Consider the following 20,635-nt stretch of genomic DNA (forward strand, 5'->3'; position numbering starts at 1 on the left):
GATTCTTGTGCCTTAGCCTCCTACGTAGCTGGGATTATAGGCGCACACCACCACACCCGGCTAATTTTTATATTTTTAGTAGAGACGGGGTTTCGCCATGTTGGCCAAGCTGGTCTTGAACTCCTGATCTCAAGTGATCTGCCTGCCTCAGCCTCCCAGAGTGCTGGGATTACAGGCATGAGCCACTGCCCAGCCTCATTATTTTAATTTTTTTATAGAGACAGGATCTCACCATGTTAACCAAGCTAGTTTCCAATTCCTGGGCTCAAGAGATCCTCCCTCTTCAACTTCCCAAAGTGCTGGGGTTATAGGGCATGAGCCACTGTGCCTGCCCCATTTGTGCATTCTGTTGAGAGCACCCGTAGTCCCATAGTATGGGCCAGCCTAAGGAGATGCAAGTCACCCTTTATTAGAGTGAAACAGTGAAGGGGATTTCCCCTCTAAACCATTGAGGTCAAGCTAGAGAATGAGGCGCTCAGGGAGTGAGATACAGTATGCCATTTTCTCAGAACCAGACGACCAAGTGCTGAAGAAAATGCTCAGCTCAGCTGGGACGGCGGTCCCTTTGGGCATCTCCTGAAAAACCTACTCTGGCCTCCCTTTCTCCTCCTGTACTTCTTGCACACTTAGTTCCTAACTTCGTTATAGCTGCCTGCCAGCACCCTCCTCACCCTTCTCCCCGCCCTAGATTCTGCACAGAGGCTGTGTTTGCTCATTGCTGTATTCCCAGGGCAGGGGCTGTACTGTGAATGAGGCGGGGAGGTATGCATCCTTTCTTAAAGCTGGGTGGGAGGACAGACGTGGTGGCTCATGCCTGTAATCCCAGCACTTTGGGAAGCCGAGGCAAGTGGATCACCTGAGGTCAGAAGTTCGAGACCAGCCTGGCCAACCTGGTGGAAACCCCATCTCTACTAAAAGTAGAAAAATTAGCCTGGTGTGGTGGCACATGCCTGTAGTCCCAGCTACTGGGAGGCTGAGGCAGGAGAATCACTTGAACCTGGGAGGTGGAGGTTGCAGTGAGCCCACTGCACTCCAGTCTGGGCAACAGAGTGAGACTCCGTCTCAAAAACAACAACAACAACAACAAAAAAAAACTGAGTGGGATGTGATATCACACAGCATTTTAGGGCTTGAGCAGAAGGTTGGAGCTGGTCACTGGGAAGGTTTATTTGGAGAGACTGCCAACCTGGTGCTGTGGGGCTGAGTGTGGTGATGGGTATGTGTCAGCCCACAGACACTGAGCCTTTCCAGTGTGCCTGCACTGTTCCAAACACTCTCTTGTAATAACTTCTGGAATCCTCACACACCATTAAGGTAGGTGCAGTTCTGTTCTATAGATAAGGAAATGGGGCACAGAGAAGTTCAATGCCATGCCCCAAGGTCACAGGTTGGGGTTTGCAGGTGCCTGGATTTTATTTTCATTTTTTATTTATTTATTTATTTTTTTGAGATGGAGTTTTGCTCTCGTTGTCCAGGGTGGAGTGTAATGGCATGATCTCGGCTCCTCTGCCTCCCAGGTTCAAGAGATTCTCCTGCCTCAGCCTCCCAAGTAGCTGGAATTACAGGCATCCACCACCACTCCAGGCTAATTTTTTGTATTTTCTAGTAGAGACGGGGTTTCACCATATTGGCCAGGCTAGTCTCAAACTCCTGACCTCAGGTGATCCACCCGCCTTGGCCTCCCAGAGTGCTGGGATTACAGGTGTGAGCTACTACACCCGGCCGATGCCTGGATTTCAATCTCAGTTGCCTGGCTCAAGAGATGTGCCCTAATTGCAGTGCCAGCCTGGCTCCACACACCATGCTTAGGAGTTAGGCCTTGATAAGGAGCCAGGGAAAGTTGCTGCGGCAAATGTTTCGGAAAGATGGCCTGGCAGTAGGGTAGACGGGCACCCAGGGACAGGAGACCCAGCATGAGCAGGCATGGTAATGGTGCACAGGAGGATGACACGGCACAGCACTGGGGATGCACAGAAGGGTGGATGTGAGAGCGTTCCTGTCGTTTCCGCCACCTGGATCCCTCTCACCTGTGTCTGTTTTGCAACTCCATCTCGTTATGCTACTTCAGTACGTTCCATGGTGTGGTCTCTGGAAGCAGCACCTGGGAACTTGTTAGATACGTAAATTGGAGGGCCTAGCAGGCTGTGCTTAACGAGCCCTCTGTGGGGGAGCCTGATACAGGCTCATGCTTGAGAAGCACTCTCCTAATCTAAGCCACTAGCACCCAGCAGTGGGTGGCCACAAGGGTCTTGTCCTTGCTTTGGCTCTCTCTCAACCCTCAGGCTTGCCTGTGCTCAGGGCTTTGTGGCTCCATTAACCATGCGTCGCTGACGCTGAGTTTACCGTGGTCGGCCTCGCTTCTCAGTGAAGTCCAAGGGCCTCGCAGCCTCTGCATCTGGTGATTTCTCTGCCTTTCCTCAAAGCTTCTGCTTGGCTGCCTAGTCCACAGCCTCCCGATTCACCATTCACCTGGTCCCAGCAACAGAAGTCTCAGCTGGACACACAACATGCTTTAGAGTGAGTGGCTCTTGTCTTCTCAACTCCGGACGGCGACAGTGAAATTGTGGGAAGAACCTGAGGCTCTGAGCTGTGGCCTCAGAAGCTCTGTCCCTTCCCTTCTGGTTCCTGAGGAGTTGGTGTGGTCATGTGTGGCAGTCCTGACTCGCACCTCCTCCCAGCAGTTAGCACGGTACCTTGCCAAGGTGGCAGGAGCCAGGAAGAAGAGTAGGAGGTGGCATAATAATTACAATTGCAGGCTTTGGGATCAGGAAGTCCTACATGCGACAAGAATGCTTACTTCCTAAGATGAATATAGGATTAAGGATGTCATTGCGTGAAATAGTAAGCAAATAACCTAGGGACAGGAAGGACCAGTACATTATTGAGCTCAGCTTTGTTTCAATGATGTAAGTGGCAGTATTTATCAAATTAATATCTTTGTTTTTCAGGACTTGAAAATACTGGAAATCTGTCCGGATCCAAATTATTTTGCAAGCCAGATGAGTAACCAGAGGGCATGAAAGGTTGAGAACATTTGACTTCCCTGCAAACCTTGGTATAGATCACTTCCTTTTCTGTAGGAAAGGAAAGGCACCAAAGAGCACAATGAGTACAGTAAGTTTTATCATCTCTTGAATTTTTAATTTTGTAGGGCTAATTAACTACCTTATTCCTTGTAGCACATTAGTGAAAGTGAGTTCCATAATGTCACTTCTAAGTAACCCCACTTCTTGAAGGAGTATGTATAGGAGCTTTCTGGTGGTTACATCAGCTTACTTACCGACATTGAGCTACATTCGAGTCATAAAGGGCAGAGCCCTGAAGACAAAAGGCTGAGAAGGAATAGCTTAGGGTTTGGTAATCTCAGACCTTCACAACAGTTGTCAGTGTCATAGAAATACTAAAACTTTTTGCTTTTTAAAATTGTTTGTAGACTGGGCATGGTGGCTCATGTGTAATCTCAACACTTGGAGGCGTGAAGGTAAAAAGATTACTTGAGCCTAGGACCAGCCAGGGCAACATAGGCCCCATCTCTACAAACAAACAAAATGTAGCCAGGCGTGGTGGGGCGCACCTGTAGTCCCAGCTACTTGGGAGGCTGAGGCAGGAAGATTCCTTGAGCCCAAGAGTTCAAGGCTAGCTATGATCACACCACTGCATTTCGGCAGGATGACTGAGTGAGACTCTATAAAGTATTTGCAACCCAGTTTTCTGTTTTCCCGTCTGTTTTGTTTCCCTGTGACATTCTTGGTTCATTCAGTGTGAGCATGGTAGTAATAATCCATAGTGAAAAGTTTCTTATATTCACTGACCAAAGTTGATTCGTCATTATAATTACTGTTTAGCGCTTTTGTTTGTTTGTTTTTGAAACAGGGTCTCGCTCTGTCACCCAGCCTGGAGTGCAGTGGCCCGACCTCGGCTCACTGCAACCTCCACGTTCTGGGTTCAAGTGATTCTTGTGCCTCAGCCTCCCACATAGCTGCGATTACAGGCATGCACCTCCCCGCCCAGCTAATTTTGTATTTTTAATAGAGACCAGTTTTTGCCATGTTGGCCAGGCTATTTTGGTTTGTTTTTTGAGATGGAGTCTGTTGCCCAGGTTGGAGTACAGTGGTACCATCTCGGCTTGCTGCAACCTCCGCCTCCCAGGTTCAAGCGACTCTCCTGCCTCAGCCTCCGGAGTAGCTTGGATTACAGGCACCTACCACCACACCCAGCTGATTTTGTATTTTTAGTAGAGATGTGATTTCACCATGTTGGCCAGGCTGGTCTCAAACTCCTGACCTCAAGTGATCTTGGCCTCCCAAAGTGCTAGGATGACAGGCATGAGCCACCGCACCCAGCCGTTTTTATTTGTTTTTAAGAGACAGGGTCTCACTCAGTCTCCCAGTCTGGAGTGCAGTGGTGTGATCATAGCTCACTGCAGTCTCCAACTCCTGGAGTCAAGCAATCCTTTCACCTCAGCATCCTGAGTAGTTGGGATCATAGGCATGCACCACCGCACCTGGCCAATTTTTAAGAAAAAATTGGCCAGGTGCGGTGGCTTATGCCTGTAATCCCAGCACTTTGGGAGGCCGAGGTGGGCGGATCACGAGGTCAGGAGATCAAGACCATCCTGGCTAACACGGTGAAACCCCGTCTCTACTAAAAATACAAAAAATTAGCCAGGCATAGTTGGCGGGCGCCTGTAGTCCCAGCTACTCAGGAGGCTGAGGCAGGAGAATGGCATGAACCTGGGAGGCGGAGCTTGCAGTGAGCTGAGATCGTGCCACTGCAGTCCAGCCTGGGGGCAGAGCAAGACTCCATCTCAAAAAAAAAAAAAAGAAAAATCATTTTTGTAGGCATGGAGTCTTACTTTATTACCCAGGCTGATCTTGAACTCCTGGCTTCAAGCAGTCCTCCCACCTAGGCTCCCAGAGTGAGCGACAATACCCAGACTGTTTAGAGCTTTTATCACATCTGTGAGACAGCTCTGGTTTGGTGTAATTCAGGTGTCTCCTGGAACCCCTTGAGCTCTCGAGGAGATTACCTGAAGGTCCCCCTGTCCCAGTTTATTCTCTACTGACAGAGTTCTCACTGCAAGTTTGTTCAAATGATCTAAACTCAAAACATCTGTTGTCTGAGATCCTGAATTCCTTGTCAGACAGACCAGATGTGAAATAGCCTGCTGATTTCTTCCAGTGCTCCAGAAGTACTGTGAATGGTATGGGAAGATGGATGGTGGGGACAGGTGAGACTGAACAAACAGCTGTCAGAGGGAACAGTGATGGAAATGCTGGTCACACCCTCTGAGCCTTTTGGGTCCTCACCCTCTTCTGTTACTTCCTGGCCGCCATTGTGCTCCAGGGCCCACTTTTGATGGTGATACACAAAAAAGCCCACTTCTTTGACCTCCCACCTTGGTGCTTCACCTGCAGGTTACCATGTAGCTCACCTATGGGGAAATAGGTGCTTTAAGCCTTAACCCATCTCTGCTTAGGCCAGATCAGAACAGGCAAAACAATGTAGCCTTTTGTGCATGTGTGTGAAGAAATTGGTTAAAATTCCTGAAAGTTACGGTGTGGTTATAGCTTATGTGGTTGTGATAGGATGGTCAGTTTTCACCAAAAGCTATGGACCTCTGAGGGCCCTGCTAGTGAAAAGGAAGAGAATTATGACCAGAATTATGGGAGGGCCAGAGTGGGGAGCTCTGCAGATATTCCTGGATTGATTGAGCCTGTCTTGAGTGGTGCAGGGAAGCTACTTGGGAGGAGGAGGCTCAGAGACAGCAGAGTGGGAGGGTAAAGGATGTCCTCAGGAAGGAGGTGACATTTGAGTGGGTTCTGGAAAGCTGTGCAAGAATTGGCCAAGTAAAGAAAGGGAGGGACAGGCACTCCAGGCAGGGAAGAAGCTCTGGTTAAAGGCATGGAGGGGTCGATAGAGCAGGCAGAAAAGAGGATTCCTGAGGTTAGGGAGGGGTGGGGACATTCCTGTAATTATCCGTGAGGGGAGATTTTGGGTCCAGGACCCATGGCTGCTTTCTTGGCTCCCTCAGTGGGGCCCAGAAACCACACAGGTAGCTGTGGGACATGGAGGTCTGCTTAGCAGTGCCTAGTAAGAAAGACTTGGTCTGCTACAGGCTGGGCATGGTGGATCACAAGGTCAGGAGTTCGAGACCAGCCTGGCCAACATGGTGAAACCCCGTTTCCACTAAAAATACAAAAAAATTAGCTAAGCACAGTGGCGGGTGCCTGTAATCCCAGCTACTCGGGAGGCTGAGGCAGGAGAATCGCTTGAACCTGGGAGGCAGAAGTTGTGGTGAGCCGAGATCATTCCACTGCACTCCTGCCTGAGCAACAGAGTGAGACTCCGTCTTAAAAAAAAAAAAAAAAAAAAAAGACTTGGCTACAAGGGAAGGAGCCTATACGAGGACAAAGGACATTGTCAAAGAGAATGGGGTAAATATTTTCATTTATTTATTATTATTATTTTGAGACAGAGTCTTGCTCTGTCGCCCAGGCTGGAGTGCAGTGGATGCAATATTGGCTCACTGCAACCTCTGCTGCCCGGGTTCAAGCGATTCTCCTGCCTCAGCCTCCCGAGTAGCTGGGACTACAGGTGCATGCCACCACGCCCAGCTACTTTTTGTGTTATTAGTAGAGACGGGGTTTCAGCATCTTGGCCAGGCTGGTCTTGAACTCCTGACCTCGTGATCCACGAGAATGGGGTAAATATTAAAGAGTCCTAAGTGTTTGAAATGCTTGTTTTCTGGTGCTGTAAAGAAATAGCATTTGAACGTAAATTCAATTTTTTTTAGCAAGGCCATATTTATACTTTCTGCAGAAAGGGTACACTCACCAGTTGTTTTGCCATGAGAATACATTGAATAAAGGAGACAGGGTTATTTATAACTTGATGTGTTTACTCTGCTGCTGTATCCAGTTTTTATTGGCTGGAACAGGACCTCACATTCTGTATTTGTCCCAATTGGCTAGCAACTTAGAACTTTTTTTTTTTTTTTTTTTTGGAGACAGAGTCTCACTCTGTCGCCCAGGCTGGAGTGCAGTGGCATGATCTCGGGGTCACTGCAAGCTCCACCTCCCGGGTTCACACCATTCTCCTGCCGCAGCCTCCCAAGTAGCTGGGACTACAGGTGCCCGCCACCACGCCTGGCTAATTTTTTTTGTATTTTTTAGTAGAGATGGGGTTTCTACGTGTTAGCCAGGATGGTCTCGATCTTCTGACCTTGTGATCCGCCCGCCTCAGCCTCCCAAAGTGCTGGGATTACAGGCATGCGCCACCACACCTGGCCAGAACTTTTGAAAAGAGGCAAAGGCAGAGGAGAATAAAGGAAGGAGGAAGTAACTTGTGGAATGCTGAAAAAGGTAAAAATAACCTTTAAATAAGGAAGAGGAACAGGCTATGATCTAATGCTTGCTTGGACTAATATAAGCATGCCAAGGTAAATATTTAGGCTAAATTGTGGGAGCTAAGAATATAAAGTACATTGATTTCTTTATTATGGCTAGCAGATATTTAAGAATGTTAGTACAGGTCTTTGAATAAATTTTGCTTTTAAGAGAAGTTACTATTTATTTCTAATTAGATGGGGAGGAAAGTCTTTGAAGAGGAACCTCTACTTTACTTTTTACATAAGCAACCTGGTGGCTGCTGGGGAAACCCTTAAAACACTGGGCAGTAGAACTCCACTGAGGTTAGTGTCAGCTCCCTTGAGGCCAAGAGCAGCTGCTCACTTGGGAGTTTTGGCTGCTGTCGCTTGGCCTCTGGGCCCTCCTGGGGCTGGTTCTGTGCTCCTTAGTCCGTGGGAAGTTACTAGACCCAGCTTCATTTCCAAAACATCTCAAGCTGCCATTTGATAAGAGTAGCATTGGAACACAGAATCAGGCTTATCCCTGTTGCCTAGCGAGGGCTTGGCTGGATGGTGGGTGTTCCTGGATCTTGTATGAATCTCTCCTGCAATATCTGGTCCTTTCAGAGTTTCCTGGGACAGATTGACCCTAGTAAGGCTAAGGAATTGGGATAGTAGTAGCATCTTCCGTCTCTGCGCAGTACTTTACATACATGATCTCATTTAGACCTTATAACAGCTCTGCAAGGCTGGTACTGGTGAGGAACTTGAGACTTAGTAGTGCAGTACTTGTCCCAGGTTGTCCAGTGCAAAGGATAGCAGGACAGGGCACAGGGAGAAGAGCACGGAAACACCAGTGGGAATACAAGGTGACAGGCTCTGTTGGGAAGCTCTTTTTTTTTTGGGGGGGGGTGAGATGGAGATTTACTCTTGTTGCCCAGGCTGGAGTGCAATGGCACAATCTCGGCTCACCGCATCCTCCACCTCCCAGGTTCAAGTGATTCTCCTGCCTCAGCCTCCCGAGTAGCTGGGATTACAGGCATGTGCCACCACGCCCAGCTAATTTTGTATTTTTAGTAGAGACGGGTTTCACCGTGTTGCCCAGGCTGATCTTGAACTCCTGACCTCTGGTGATCCGCCTGCCTCTGCCTCCCAAAGTGCTGGGATTACAGGCCTGAGCCACTGCGCCTGGCCAGCTCTGTCTCTTGATTAAGGTGGAGGATATTCTCAGCTTGTCTTTTGGGACCAGGCAGACCAGAAATGCTGGAGCATATTGGCAAACCAGCAGCCTAAGGATTTGGAAGAAAGGCTGGTCAGAGTGTCAGTTGCTTATCAACCAGCTGAGAGCCTGAACTTTCCGGAAGACATGGCTCTTGGGTAGCCACTGGGAACAGGCTTAAAACAGCTTTGGTTCTTTGAGTTCTTTGTGGGGAGTGATTGTCTGGTGTGAATCACAGTTGATAGTGCCCTGAAAGGTTCAAGGCCACATTTCCCAGGGGAAGATAAGCTTTCCACAATGTATAGAAACTCAGAAAACTCCAAGTTCTTTATGCTAAGAAACAAAAAGGGCTCAGAAAGGCTGAACACAAAGTCAAGGAAGAGAAATTGATAACTTTTGGTTAAAGGGAAGAGTTTCCAGCCTTTTGGCCAGGGCATCCACTACCAAGTCCAAATCCTGACTTGGCCTCAAGCTTTTGTAAAGGGATGCATCGTGTCCCTTTTGACCTGCTGATAGTTTTTTTGAGATGGAGTCTCACACTGTCACCCGGGCTAGAGTACAGTGACGCGATCTCGCCTCACTGCAACCTCTGCCTCCCAGGTTCAAGTGATTCTCCTGCCTCAGCCTCTGGAGTAGCTGGGATTACAGGTGCCTGCCACCACGCCCAGCTAACTTTTGTATTTTCAGTAGTGATGAGGCTTCACCATGTTGGCCAGGCTGACCTTGAACTCCTCACCTCATGATTCGCCCACCTCAGCCTCCGAAAGTGCTGGGATTACAGGTGTGAGCCACCATGCCCAGCCGACCTGCTGATAGTTTGATAAAACAGAAGTTTTACTTTCTGGAATTTCTACTCATTTTATGTTTTGGATGGTTTCTCTCTCCGTAAGCATTCAGTATTCTTGAATCTCAAGTTTTGAAAGGAGCCCTAACTTCAAGTCTACTCGCTGGCTTCTTAATGAAGTGAACCATTTCTATTGCCCATTTAGTTCTTCCTGAAACCCTGACATTCTGGTGTTCATGTGACTCTTCTTTCCCCCTTGCTACTCAGAGAAAGCGTCGTGGTGGAGCAATAAATTCTAGACAAGCTCAGAAGCGAACTCGGGAAGCAACCTCCACCCCCGAGATCTCCTTGGAAGCAGAACCCATAGAACTCGTGGAAACTGGTAAGATTGCCAGGGACACTACAACTGTGGGGTGTTAAAGTGGAGAGAGAACACTGTACCAGGGTGAGCTAGTAGAAGGTGCTTTCAGTGTCTTTAGAAGGCCTATGCAGTCTCACACTCACCATGTACAACTCAAAGCTTCACAGATTCTGAAATAGCTTCTCAACTGGGCTAACTGTTCAACTCTGGTAATGTGCAGCAGTGGGGTAGGATCCATTTAAAAAAAAATCTAGCGCAAATGAGATAGCCCACCTTTTCTATCTGAAACTGCATCCCCAATTGCTGGACCTTGTAAAGTACTTCGCTTTCCTCTTCTGTTTTTCATTAGGACATGAAATCACCCAAGAAGGCAAACTTGTCCACAGAGCTCCCTGTGTTGGAGCTTGGTATAGGCAGAGGCCAGATTGGATTTCCCCTTCTGCCTGCTCAAGAAGTGGTTGATGGCTGGCCTAAGTCCCTTTGCTCTGCATATATTGTTTTTATAACTAGGATACCTGCAAACTGGCATTTTATTTTTACTTATTTATTTTTGAGATAGAGTCTTGCTCTGTCGCCCAAGCTAGAGTGTAGTGGTGCAGTCTCGGCTCACTGCAAGCTCCACATCCTGGGTTCACGCCATTCTCCTGCCTCAGCCTCCCAAGTAGCTGGGACTATAGGCACCCGCCACCACACCCGGCTAATTTTTTGTATTTTTAATAGAGACAGGGTTTCACCATGTTAGCCAGGATGGTCTCGATCTCCTGACCTTGTGATCCACCCGTCTCGGCCTCCCAAAGTGCTGGTATTACAGGCGTGAGCCACTGCACCCGGCCATGCAAACTCGCGTTTTAAACAGAAGAAACTTAGTGCAAGATAAATTTCATGGGCCCCCCAGGAGAAATGAAGTTCTCTATATGGTCTCTGAGTTTCACTTCTACAAATGAGTTCTTGAAAGCCTTGACTTGAGGCTAGGATCCTGGCTCTAGACCAAAAAGGAACGAACTGCTTTCCGTCATGGCACTTGTCATCCTCTAGGCAGTCTTACCCCTGTGTGTACTTAGGGCTGCCCATTAGAGCACTGTTTTGTTTTTGTTTCTGTTTGAGGCAGAGTTTCGTTCTGTCAGCCAGGTTGGAGTGCAATCGCGTGATCTCGGCTCACTGCAACCTCTGCCTCCCAGGTTTAAGCAAGTCTCCTGCCTCAGCTTCCCAAGTAGCTGGGATCATAGGCGCCCACCACCACACCCGGCTAAATTTTTTTTGTATTTTTAGTAGAGACGGGGTTTCACCATGTCAGTCAGGCTGATCTCGAACTCCTGACCTCAGATTATCCACCTGCCTTGGCCTCCCAAAGTGCTGGGATTACAGGCCTGAGCCACCCGCCTGGCCTAGAGCACTGTTTTTGTAAGAGCCCAGAATTGTGTTCACCAGAAAGAGAATGGTTCAATAAATTGTTGTATATCAGTATATGGACTGTTGGACAGCCCTTCTTTTTAATAAAGAATGCAATAATTTTATATAAATTATATTGTATATGTAAGATTATCACGGTTTTTATTCTTGTGAAACTTTATGATACAAGAAAATAAAACAGGCCAGCCAGATTGCTTGAGCCCAGGAGTACCAGACCAGCCTGGACAACATAGTGAGACCCTGTCTCTATAAATAAAAAAATTAGCCAAGTGTGGGAGGCTGAGGTAGGAGGATCACTTGAGCCTGGAACATTGAGGCTGCAGTGAGCCGTGATCGTGCCACTGCACTCTAGCCTGGGCAACAGCAAGACCCCACCTAAAAAATAAATAAAAGAAGTTACGTTGGGTTGGGCGCCATGGCTGGCTCCTATAATCCCAGCACTTTGGGAGGCCGAGGCGTGCAGATCACCTGAGGTCAGGAGTTCAAGACCAGCCTGGCCAACATGGCGAAACCCCATCTCTACTAAAAATGCAAAAATTAGACGGGCGTGGTGGCGGGCGCCTGTAATCCCAGCTACTTGGGAGGTTGATGCAGGAGAATCACTTGCACCTGGGAGGCAGAGGTTGCAGTGAGCCGAGATCGTGCCACTGCACTCCTGCCTGGACGACAGAGCGAGACTCTGTCTCAAAAAAAAAAAGTTAAATGCATTACAAGACACTTTCCCCAAATATTAGACCAATACTGTTTCTTAAAAAACTTCATTTAGTGTTTTGTTGTTGTTGTTGTTTGTTTGTTTTTGAGATGGAGTTTTGCTCTTGTTGCCCAGGCTGGGGTGCAGTGGCGTGATCTTTGCATCCCGGGGTTCAAGCAATTCTCCTGCCTCAGCCTCCCGAGTAGCTGGGATTACAGGCATGTGCCACCACACCTCGCTAATTTTGTATTTTTAGTAGAAACGGAGTTTCTCCATGTTGGTCAGGCTGGTCTCGAACTCTCAACCTCAGGTGATCCGCCCACCTCAGCCTCCCAAAGTGCTGGGATTACAGGTGTGAACCACTGTGCCTGGCCCATTCCGTGCTTTTTAATATTAATATTAATAGTAATCAGAAATAAAAATGGTTGTGCGTCATTTTTTACTTTATATAAATGGAAGTTGTACGTTAACTGTTTGGTCCATGTCCTTCTCACCTTTATCCTGTGCACATGTAGACATCACAGTATACCCTAAGGGCTGAAAGGCAAGCTTCACAACAGATGCAACCCATTTTGTATGTTGAGGTTCTAGCTATCAGTATATATCACTGTTATTCTCCATCCAACTAGGGAGACAAACTTGAGAGATAAATGGAAATTAAAAGTTTGTCCTTGGCCGGGCACGGTGGCTCACGCCTGTAATCCCAACACTTTGGAAGACTGAAGTGGGTGGATCACAAGGTCAGGAGTTCAAGACCAGCCTGGCCAAGATGGTGAAACCCCATCTCTACTAAAAATACAAACAAAATTAGCCAGGCATGCTGCCAGGCGCCTGTAATCCCAACTACTCGGGAGGCTGAGACAGAGAATTGCTTGAACCCAGGAGGCGGAGGTTGCAGTGAGCCAAGATCGCACCACTGCACTCCAGCCTTGGCGACAGAGCGAGACTCTGTCTCAAAAAAAAAAAAAAAAAAAAAGAATTTGCCCTAGATTAACCGATGAAGTTACTAAGCTAAGCCTGACTTTTGGTCCTTGGGCCAAGTGAGAGTGGTCAGCTTCACCTGCTGGGAGGAGCAGAGGTTTCAGGCTAGTCCATCCCAAAGAGAAAGGCCTGGGGCTGGGCATGCATGGTGCGTTCTCCCAGATGGGGCACAGAGGCATAGCCGTGTGGAAGTGGGATGCCGTGGAATAGAGGTATGCACATGCGCACACATACATAACCCCCCAGGTACATTTGTAAAAACCATACCTCCCCACTCAGAGCAGAATTCTGGAAGGGTGGTTACTGGCTTTCCCTCCTGAGGGAGGTGTTGGTCCTGGTGCTCTTTGCAGTGTATACTTCAGGATTGTTTTAGTTTGGGGTAAGCCTATAACATTAGCAGTCATACTAAAGTGTAGAGGGATACAACCTTACTTTCCTCTTAATCTTAATGCTTGTTGAAATACTTTCTTTTGAAGCTGGAGATGAAATTGTGGACCTCACTTGTGAATCTTTAGAGCCTGTGGTGGTTGATCTGACTCACAATGACTCTGTTGTGGTAAGTGTTGGAGTGTGAGAGTCGGCTGTTTCTTGGGTATGGGTCCCTGGCCAGTGCCAGCATCTGACAGCCTTGGTCACAGACTCCAAGTCAAGGTTACAGCTTATGCTAAAGAAGTTCATGCATCTTGTGGAATTGAGCTTTTAGAAAGAAAATAAACAGTAACAATAATAATAACAAAGAAGTTCATGCATTCAGTGACGAGAGCCCAAAATGAAAAATGTTTCTGGAAAATCATTTGTTATAGCCTTGTCGCCTATGGAGTAGGTCTGTGTAACCTGACCTTGCCACACCTGGGCACAAAAGTGGTTTGGGGAGAATCTCAAGACCCCCACATCTGTCTTCAGTCCCTGATTCCACAGTTTACACCAGCTGTGTGACCTTGGGCATGTGACTTAGCCTCATTCACTTTCCATGAAATGGGGACAGGTCACTCATGTCAGCAGGGCATGGTGTAAGACATCTTACAACAGATGCCGTGTTTGAGTGCCTGACACCTAGAATGGTGCCCAGTCACTGTGAGTGTATGCCCTCCCAACTGAAAGGAAAGGGAACGTTGGCTCAGCACTGCCCATGGGAAATCTCTCAAGTTCCAAAAGTGCCTGCTACTTAGCATGGCCTCAGGGGATGCAGGCTCCCTGCATTGCCACCTGATGCCTGCTGCGTCCTGATGCCAGGGAGGCTGGAGCCCAGGAGGCTGCCTGTGTCCCTGTCTCATGGCACCGGTTACAGACTGCAGGGGACGTGTGTATACGTGTCCTGCCTGCCAGGAGGGAGGCCTTGTCTGGTCAGAGGACACACGGAGAAGCTATTTCTGATAGACCTGTTTCATGGTGCATGCAGGTCTGGGAATCTGGTCAGCATCTTAAGGGCAAGTTTGCCTCTGGAAGATGCCACTTGAGTGTTTTCTGACAGTGTGCTCGGAACACAGGTCGGGGTGGGGGCACACTTGGCAGCATTGGCAGTGGGGTGGTAAGTGCTGCTGAGGAGGACTGTGGGGTGTGGGGGCTGCTAGTAGCTGAGTCTTCGCCTTGGCCCTGGGCTCACTGGTGTTGGGGTTATCCTGTTTGGCTGATGCCTGGGTATCTGAATAGGGACACCCCATAGGTGTTGCTTCTTAGTTGTGCTGAGAACTTCAGAATAGGGTTATACTGAGAAGTTTCAAGACTTCAATGCAAAGAAAAGGACAGGGATGGAAAACCATCTGAGATAAGCAGCAGTGGGTTTAGTTGTACGTGGTCCCTGCTTAGGTCTCATTAACGTGTTTTCTGAGGTACATACACACATATGACTTTGCTTATCATCCCTGTGTCCTGCATGGAGTTCTGGAAAGATAACTAATTTGGTATATTAGCTGGCAGCTACAGCACAGTCACTGATTTTTCCCCTCTTTCTTTTTCCCAGCTGACACCTTGGTTTCACCAGTTGCTCATTAAAGCTGGAAAGTGGTGTCTGCAGAAGTTTTTTTGTTTTTTGTTTTTTGTTTTTCTTGAATACTCAGTGTTCACCACAGTCTTCTTGGCCTTCTCTCTGCCAGACCCTGAGGAGAGAGCTAGGATTTTGACTGCAGGAAGACAATGATTGATTGGCTTTTGTTGGCTGACAAACCAACATCATTTCCCCTTTCACACTTGTGTTTTCTTTTGCTTTAGAAACAGGGTCTCAGGCTGGGCGCGGTGGCTCACGCCTGTAATCTCAGCACTTTGGGAGGCCGAGGTGGGCGGACCACAAGGTCAGGAGTTTGACATCAGCCTGGCCAACATGGTGAAACCCTGTCTCTACTAAAAATACAAAAATTATGCGGACGCCTGTAGTCCCAGCTATTCAGGAGGCTAAGGCAGGAGAATCGCTTGAACCCAGGAATCAGAGGTTGCAGTGAGCCGAGATCACGTCACTGCACTCCAGCCCGGGCAACAGAGTGAGACTCCATCTCAAAAAAAAAAAAAAATACAAAAATTAGCCAGGTGTGATGATGCATACCTGTAATCCCAGCTACTCGGGAGGCTAAGGCAGGAGAATTACTTGAACCCAGGAGGCGGAGGTTGCAGTGAGCCAAGATCGCGCCACTGCACTCAAGCCTGGGCGACAGAGCAAGACTCTGTCTCAAAAAAAAAAAAAAAGAAAAGAAAAGAAACAGGGTCTCACTCTGTTGCCCAGGCTAGAGAGCAGTGGCATGATCACACCTTACTGCAGCCTCCAACCCCTGAGCTTAAGTGATTCTCCCACATTATCCTCCTGAGTAGCTGAGACTACAGGTGCATGCCACCATACACTACTAAATTTGGGTCGGGTGGTGGTGGTGATTTTTTAATATTTTTGTAGAGACAGGGTCTCACTGTGATGCCCAGGCTGGTCTTGAACTCCTGGGCTCAAGCAGTCACCCACCTCAGCCTCCCAAAGCACTAGGATTACAGGTGTGAGCCACCACACTGGCCAGCTTTGTTTTGTTTTGATGACTAAGCTGCTCTTGCTAAAAGGGCTTCCTCTCTGAACTTCCCTACCTTTCTTCTGTTTCCCTGGGCTAGGGCTCCATGTTGGCAGTCCTACTCCCAATTAACCTGGGGCTGTCTGGTTAACCTTTATAAGATCTGCAGTCATTGGGAGACCCGGGGACCAGGAATATTGGTGTTGAGGGAGCTACCCTGGAAAGTGGATGGGTGGCCAGAGGGAGAGCTGATAGGTAAAAGGGAGACGCTCCTGGCTTGGGAAGCAGGAGTCCTAGGTTCTGGTCTCTCAGATCTACTGGTCAGTTTGATCAGTGGATTTATCTCACACTGTCCTCAGTGTTGTCAGCCACAAAATAACTGCTTTGGACTTGATAGCTCTTGCTAATCATTCTCTACTTATTTTTGATTTTAATAAGTCCAAGTGCCAGTTTATGAATTTACACTGAGACATATACTTGAGTTTGGAATTCTGCCTCTGAGCAGATCTGTTTGGGAGGCCTCTAATGCTAGTCACTGAGGATAAGGGGCATCTGTAGATGGATCGTGTGTTCAGGGTGACCCTAGGCTGCACCTGCAGGAGAGTATAAAATGGATAAATGTATTCATTCTGGAAGCGGGGTAACCTTCCTTACCAGTTCCGCCAGGACCTGTCGAATAGTTTGAGTGCACTGCTTTAGCTCCAGTAGCTCTGTACCTGTAATATAGGAATCCCTGGATACCAGGATCCAGAGGTAGCCGTCAGAACATCAGGGAACCCTCTAAACTTTGTGCCTGTGGTCCCAGCTACTGGGAAGGCTGAGCAAGGAGGATCACTTGAACTCAGGAGTTCAAGGCAAGCCTGGGCAACATAGTGAGACCCTGTCTTCTTCAAAAAAGAAAAAAAGACTGGAAACTTTGCATACAGGTGTGCACATTCTTCCAACTTTCGAAGGAATTCAAAGCCCCTGAAAAATGAAGGGAAATGAAAAATGCGGTAAGATGCAGTGAGAGACTTTGTTCATCTCATTTGATTAGTTTCCCTCAAAATGAACTTTCATTTTTGGCATTGCATAGCCTAGAAAAGGCATCACTGCTGTGTCCCGAGGTGTGAGTGTCTTTGATTTTTACTGGATAAATGCCAGACTTTTCTAAAGAGGGAGCAGTTCACATTCATGCCAGTGTTTGAGGTTCTCCACATCCTCATGGCCACTTTTAATTTTAGCCATTCTGATGCTTGTCCAGTGGTGTCTCATTGTGGTTTTAATTTGTGCTTTTTTATTACAAATGGGATCAAACACCTTTTCATGTTTATTTTTCTCTTTTGTGAAGTGCCTGTTTAAAACTTCTTTGTTTTATAGCTTTTATTTATTTATTTATTTATTTATTTATTTATTTATTTATTTTGAGACAGAGTCTTGCACTGTTACCCAGGCTGGAGTGCAGTGGCGTGATCTTGGCTCACTGTAAGCTCTGCCTCCTGGGTTCACGCCATTCTCCTGCCTCAGCCTCCAGAGTAGCTGGGACTACAGGCAGCCGCCACCATGCCCGGCTCATTTTTTGTATTTTTTTTTTTTTTTTTTTTTGAGACAGAGTCTCACTCTGTCACCCAGGCTGGAGTGCAGTGGCACGATCTCAGTTCACTCAGTTCACCTCCGCCTCCCGGGTTCAAGCAATTCTCCTGCCTCAGCCTATTGAGTAGCTGGGACTACAGGCACGCACCACCATGCCAGGCTAATTTTTTATATTTTTAGTAGAGATGGGGTTTCACCATGTTGCCCAGGCTGTTCTTGAACTCCTGACCTCAGGTGATCCACTCGCCTTGGCCTCCCAAAGTGCTGGGATTATAAGCATGAGCCGCTGCACCTGGCTGTTACATAGCTTTTTTTTATGCAACTTTCGTATATAAACTTTTTTCATCATAAATAGGACTTTTCACTTTAGTACCTAGCTCATCCCAGTAGCTTTTCCAGAACTGCTGTCTTCACCACAAAGCTCCCTACGTTTTCCCAATGCAAACCTGAGTGTTTTTAGCATTTTAACTTTCCTCACAGAGAAGACATCGTGGAGCGGATAAATAGATTTGCAGGCATTTCTGTGTCTTCTCCAGTGCTGTCTGGAATAATTTTCTCCACCACTTCTTTCAAGTTATTTGTCTGCATCTCTCTTTTTTTTTTTTTTTGAGATGGAGTCTCGCTCTGTTGCCCAAGCTGGAGTACAGTGGTGCGATCTTGGCTCACTGCCAGCTCCGCCTCCTGGGTTCACACCATTCTCCTGCCTCAGCCTCCAGAGTAGCTGGGACTACAGGTGCCCGCCACCACACCCGGCTAATTTTTTGTATTTTTAGTAGAGACGGGGTTTCACCATGTTAGCCAGGATGGTCTCGATCTCCTGACCTCGTGATCCGCCCGCCTCGGCCTCCCAAAGTGCTGGGATTATAGGTGTGAGCCACCGCGCCCGGCCTTGGGTCATGATTTCCATCATCTTAGACCTGTTGGTGCTGAGGTTTTCTTTAACCATTGGTAGTCTAGACATCAACATGAGCTTCAATCATGGTCTGCCTTTTTTTTTTTTTTTTTTTTTTTTTTTTTTGAGACGGTTTCTCACTGTCACTCAGGCTAGAATGCAGTAGCGTGATCTCAGCTCACTGCAGCCTCTGCCTCCTGGGTAGCTGGGACTATAGGCATGCACCACCACGCCCAGCTAATTTTTGTATTTTTTGTAGAGACAGGATTTTGCCATGTTGTCCAGGCTGGTCTCGAACTCCTGACCTCAAGTGATCCACCCGGGTGGTCTGCCATTTTTAAATCACACAACACATTTTGTCATGGGTAAGACCCACGCATGGAAGCTAGGCAGTTTTTGCCCTGAACATCTTGAACAGTCAGCTTGAGTTTTCTGCAAGTCAGCAAGCCTTCAAACATAACCCTTGAGGCCATCAGATACAGTTTTGGTTCCTTGAGTCCTATAAACTTTTTAAATCGTTGAAAAAATTGAACTAGAACAAAGCAAACCATTTGTTGTTTTCTTTTTCCCCCCTGAGACAGAGTCTCGCTCTGTCGCCCACGCTGGAGTGCAGTGGCACAGTCTTGGCTCACTGCAACCTCCATCTCCAGGGTGCCAGCGATTCCCATGTCTCAGCCTCCTGAGTAGCTGGGATTACAGGTACACACCACCACGGCCAGCTAATTTTTGTATTTTTAGGAGAGACGGTTTTGCCATGTTGACCAGGCTGGTCTTGAACTCCTGGCCTCAAGTGATATACCTGACTCAGCCTCCCAAAGTGCTAGGATTACAGACGTGAGCCACCATGTCCGGCCTCCTTGGTTGCTTTTTAACAGCAAATAATCTTTTTTTTTTTTCCAAGTTGTGTGCTTTCTCCAAATTTGTTTTTTTTCTTCTTCTTCTTCTTTTTTTTTCCCTTGAAACAGGGTCTCACTTTGTTACCCAGGCTGGAGTGCAGTGGTGCCATCACGGCTCACTGCAGCCTGTACCTTCTGGGCTCAATTGAGCTTCCTGCCTCAGCCTCCTAAGTAGCTGGGACTATAGGGGTATGTCACCATCCCTGGCTGATTTTTTATATTTTTTTGGAGAGACAAGGTCTTACCGTATTGCCCAGGGTGGTCTCAAACTCCTGGGCTCAAGTGATCCTCCCACCTTGGTTTCCCAAAGTGCTGGGATTGTAGTTGTGAGCCACTGAGCCTGACCTTGGGTCACTTTTCATGAGCATTTTCAGTATGCCAGTCTCTGCTCTGGCTAGAAGCAATGCAGTGGTAGAAAAGAGACTGGCAACTCTCTTTAAGGAATCGAGATTCTTTAAGGGGAAGGTTATTGAAAATGTTACTTAGGCTGTTTTTCTTAAATTTCCAAAGATTGTCTCTTAGTAAGGTTGATTTTTCTGGAATCTTTTTTTGGTCTGTTTCTATAATGTATGAATAAGTCACACTATGTGTGTTTTATTCTGTATCCTGCCTGGTTTTCCATTTATGAGACTCTGTAGAAAGGATGCTTGATAAAGGCTTTTCTGGAAGGAAGGAAGGAAGAGGGAGGGAGGGAGGGAAGGAGGGAGGGACAGAACCCTGTAGATCTCTGGGTGTAAAGGACACAGGAGGCACACTGTTGGAATAAGTGAGCCAGCCCAATTCCATAGAAAGAAAGAAGAGCTCAGAAAAGCCCAAACATCATATCCAGGAATTAGCCAAGATGGGTTGGCTACTCAACTACAATGTGATTGTCCGCACCAGTCTTCCCGACTTTCCTGCCAGTGCCGCAAGTAACAGGCATCAGTAACTGCATGATGTGTGTAGCTGTTGGACATTGAGTAGCCTTTTGTGTGCACAGTGCTTGGAGATGGCTGTTTTTCCAGTGGAGCAATGTGCAGTGCTGTGAGCTGTAAAGTTGTCTAAAGCAAGTGTGTCTTGGTGCCCTTGGCTGGGTGAACATTCCTAGAAATGCCAGGGGCCAGCCTGAGTGCACGGGACCCAGTGATTCCTATACTTGCTTCTTTCATGCAGAGGTGTTCTGAGGCTCACCTGTGCTTTTAGAAGCACAAAGGGGCTTCGAGTGACCAATCAGATGTGCCTGCTGCAGGTCCACTCGTCTCTAAATGCTCTGACCTATGGACTGTTGTCCATAGTTGAGAAGAAGCTAGAGTAAAATAAAATGTATGAGTGAGTGAATCTTTTTCTTTTTTTTTTTCTTTTCTCTTTTTGAGACAGGGTGTTGCTCTGTTGCCCAGGCTGGAAGGCAGGGGCCCGAGCTCAGCTCACTGTAGCCTCAACCTCCCAGGTTGAAGAGATCCTCCTGCCTCAGCCCCAGGAGTACTGGGACTACAGGTACACACTGCCATGCCCAGCTTATTC

The 20,635-nt window shown here is 47.6% G+C and overlaps 1 protein-coding gene across 4 annotated transcripts in view, besides 2 other annotated features; it reads left to right on the forward strand.

Moving 5' to 3' along the window:
- RNF4 (ring finger protein 4) overlaps window positions 1-20,635 on the forward strand; it is a 46,752-nt gene that overhangs the window by 18,283 nt on the left and 7,834 nt on the right. For all 4 annotated transcript variants that reach the window (XM_047416062.1, NM_002938.5, NM_001185010.3 and 1 more), the window contains 3 exons: window positions 2,949-3,114; window positions 9,619-9,733; window positions 13,271-13,350. In XM_047416062.1, the coding sequence (XP_047272018.1) occupies window positions 3,106-3,114; window positions 9,619-9,733; window positions 13,271-13,350 (204 nt within the window). In that variant the 5' untranslated portion in view covers window positions 2,949-3,105. The remainder of the gene's footprint in view (window positions 1-2,948; window positions 3,115-9,618; window positions 9,734-13,270; window positions 13,351-20,635) is intronic.
- Window positions 685-794: an enhancer, noted in NCBI's record as "active region_21177". NCBI's record gives its function as "activates an Ori minimal core promoter by ATAC-STARR-seq in GM12878 lymphoblastoid cells {active_cell/tissue: GM12878}" and the evidence as "EXISTENCE:reporter gene assay evidence [ECO:0000049][PMID:35858748]".
- Window positions 2,146-2,926: an enhancer, noted in NCBI's record as "H3K27ac-H3K4me1 hESC enhancer chr4:2491261-2492041 (GRCh37/hg19 assembly coordinates)". NCBI's record gives its function as "activates a minimal SCP1, AML or CMV promoter by ChIP-STARR-seq in naive H9 embryonic stem cells {active_cell/tissue: H9 hESC(naive)}" and the evidence as "EXISTENCE:reporter gene assay evidence [ECO:0000049][PMID:30033119]".

The sequence above is a fragment of the Homo sapiens genome, chromosome 4, assembly GCF_000001405.40.
Source record: "Homo sapiens chromosome 4, GRCh38.p14 Primary Assembly".
In the NCBI taxonomy this organism is placed as follows: Eukaryota; Metazoa; Chordata; class Mammalia; order Primates; family Hominidae; genus Homo; species Homo sapiens.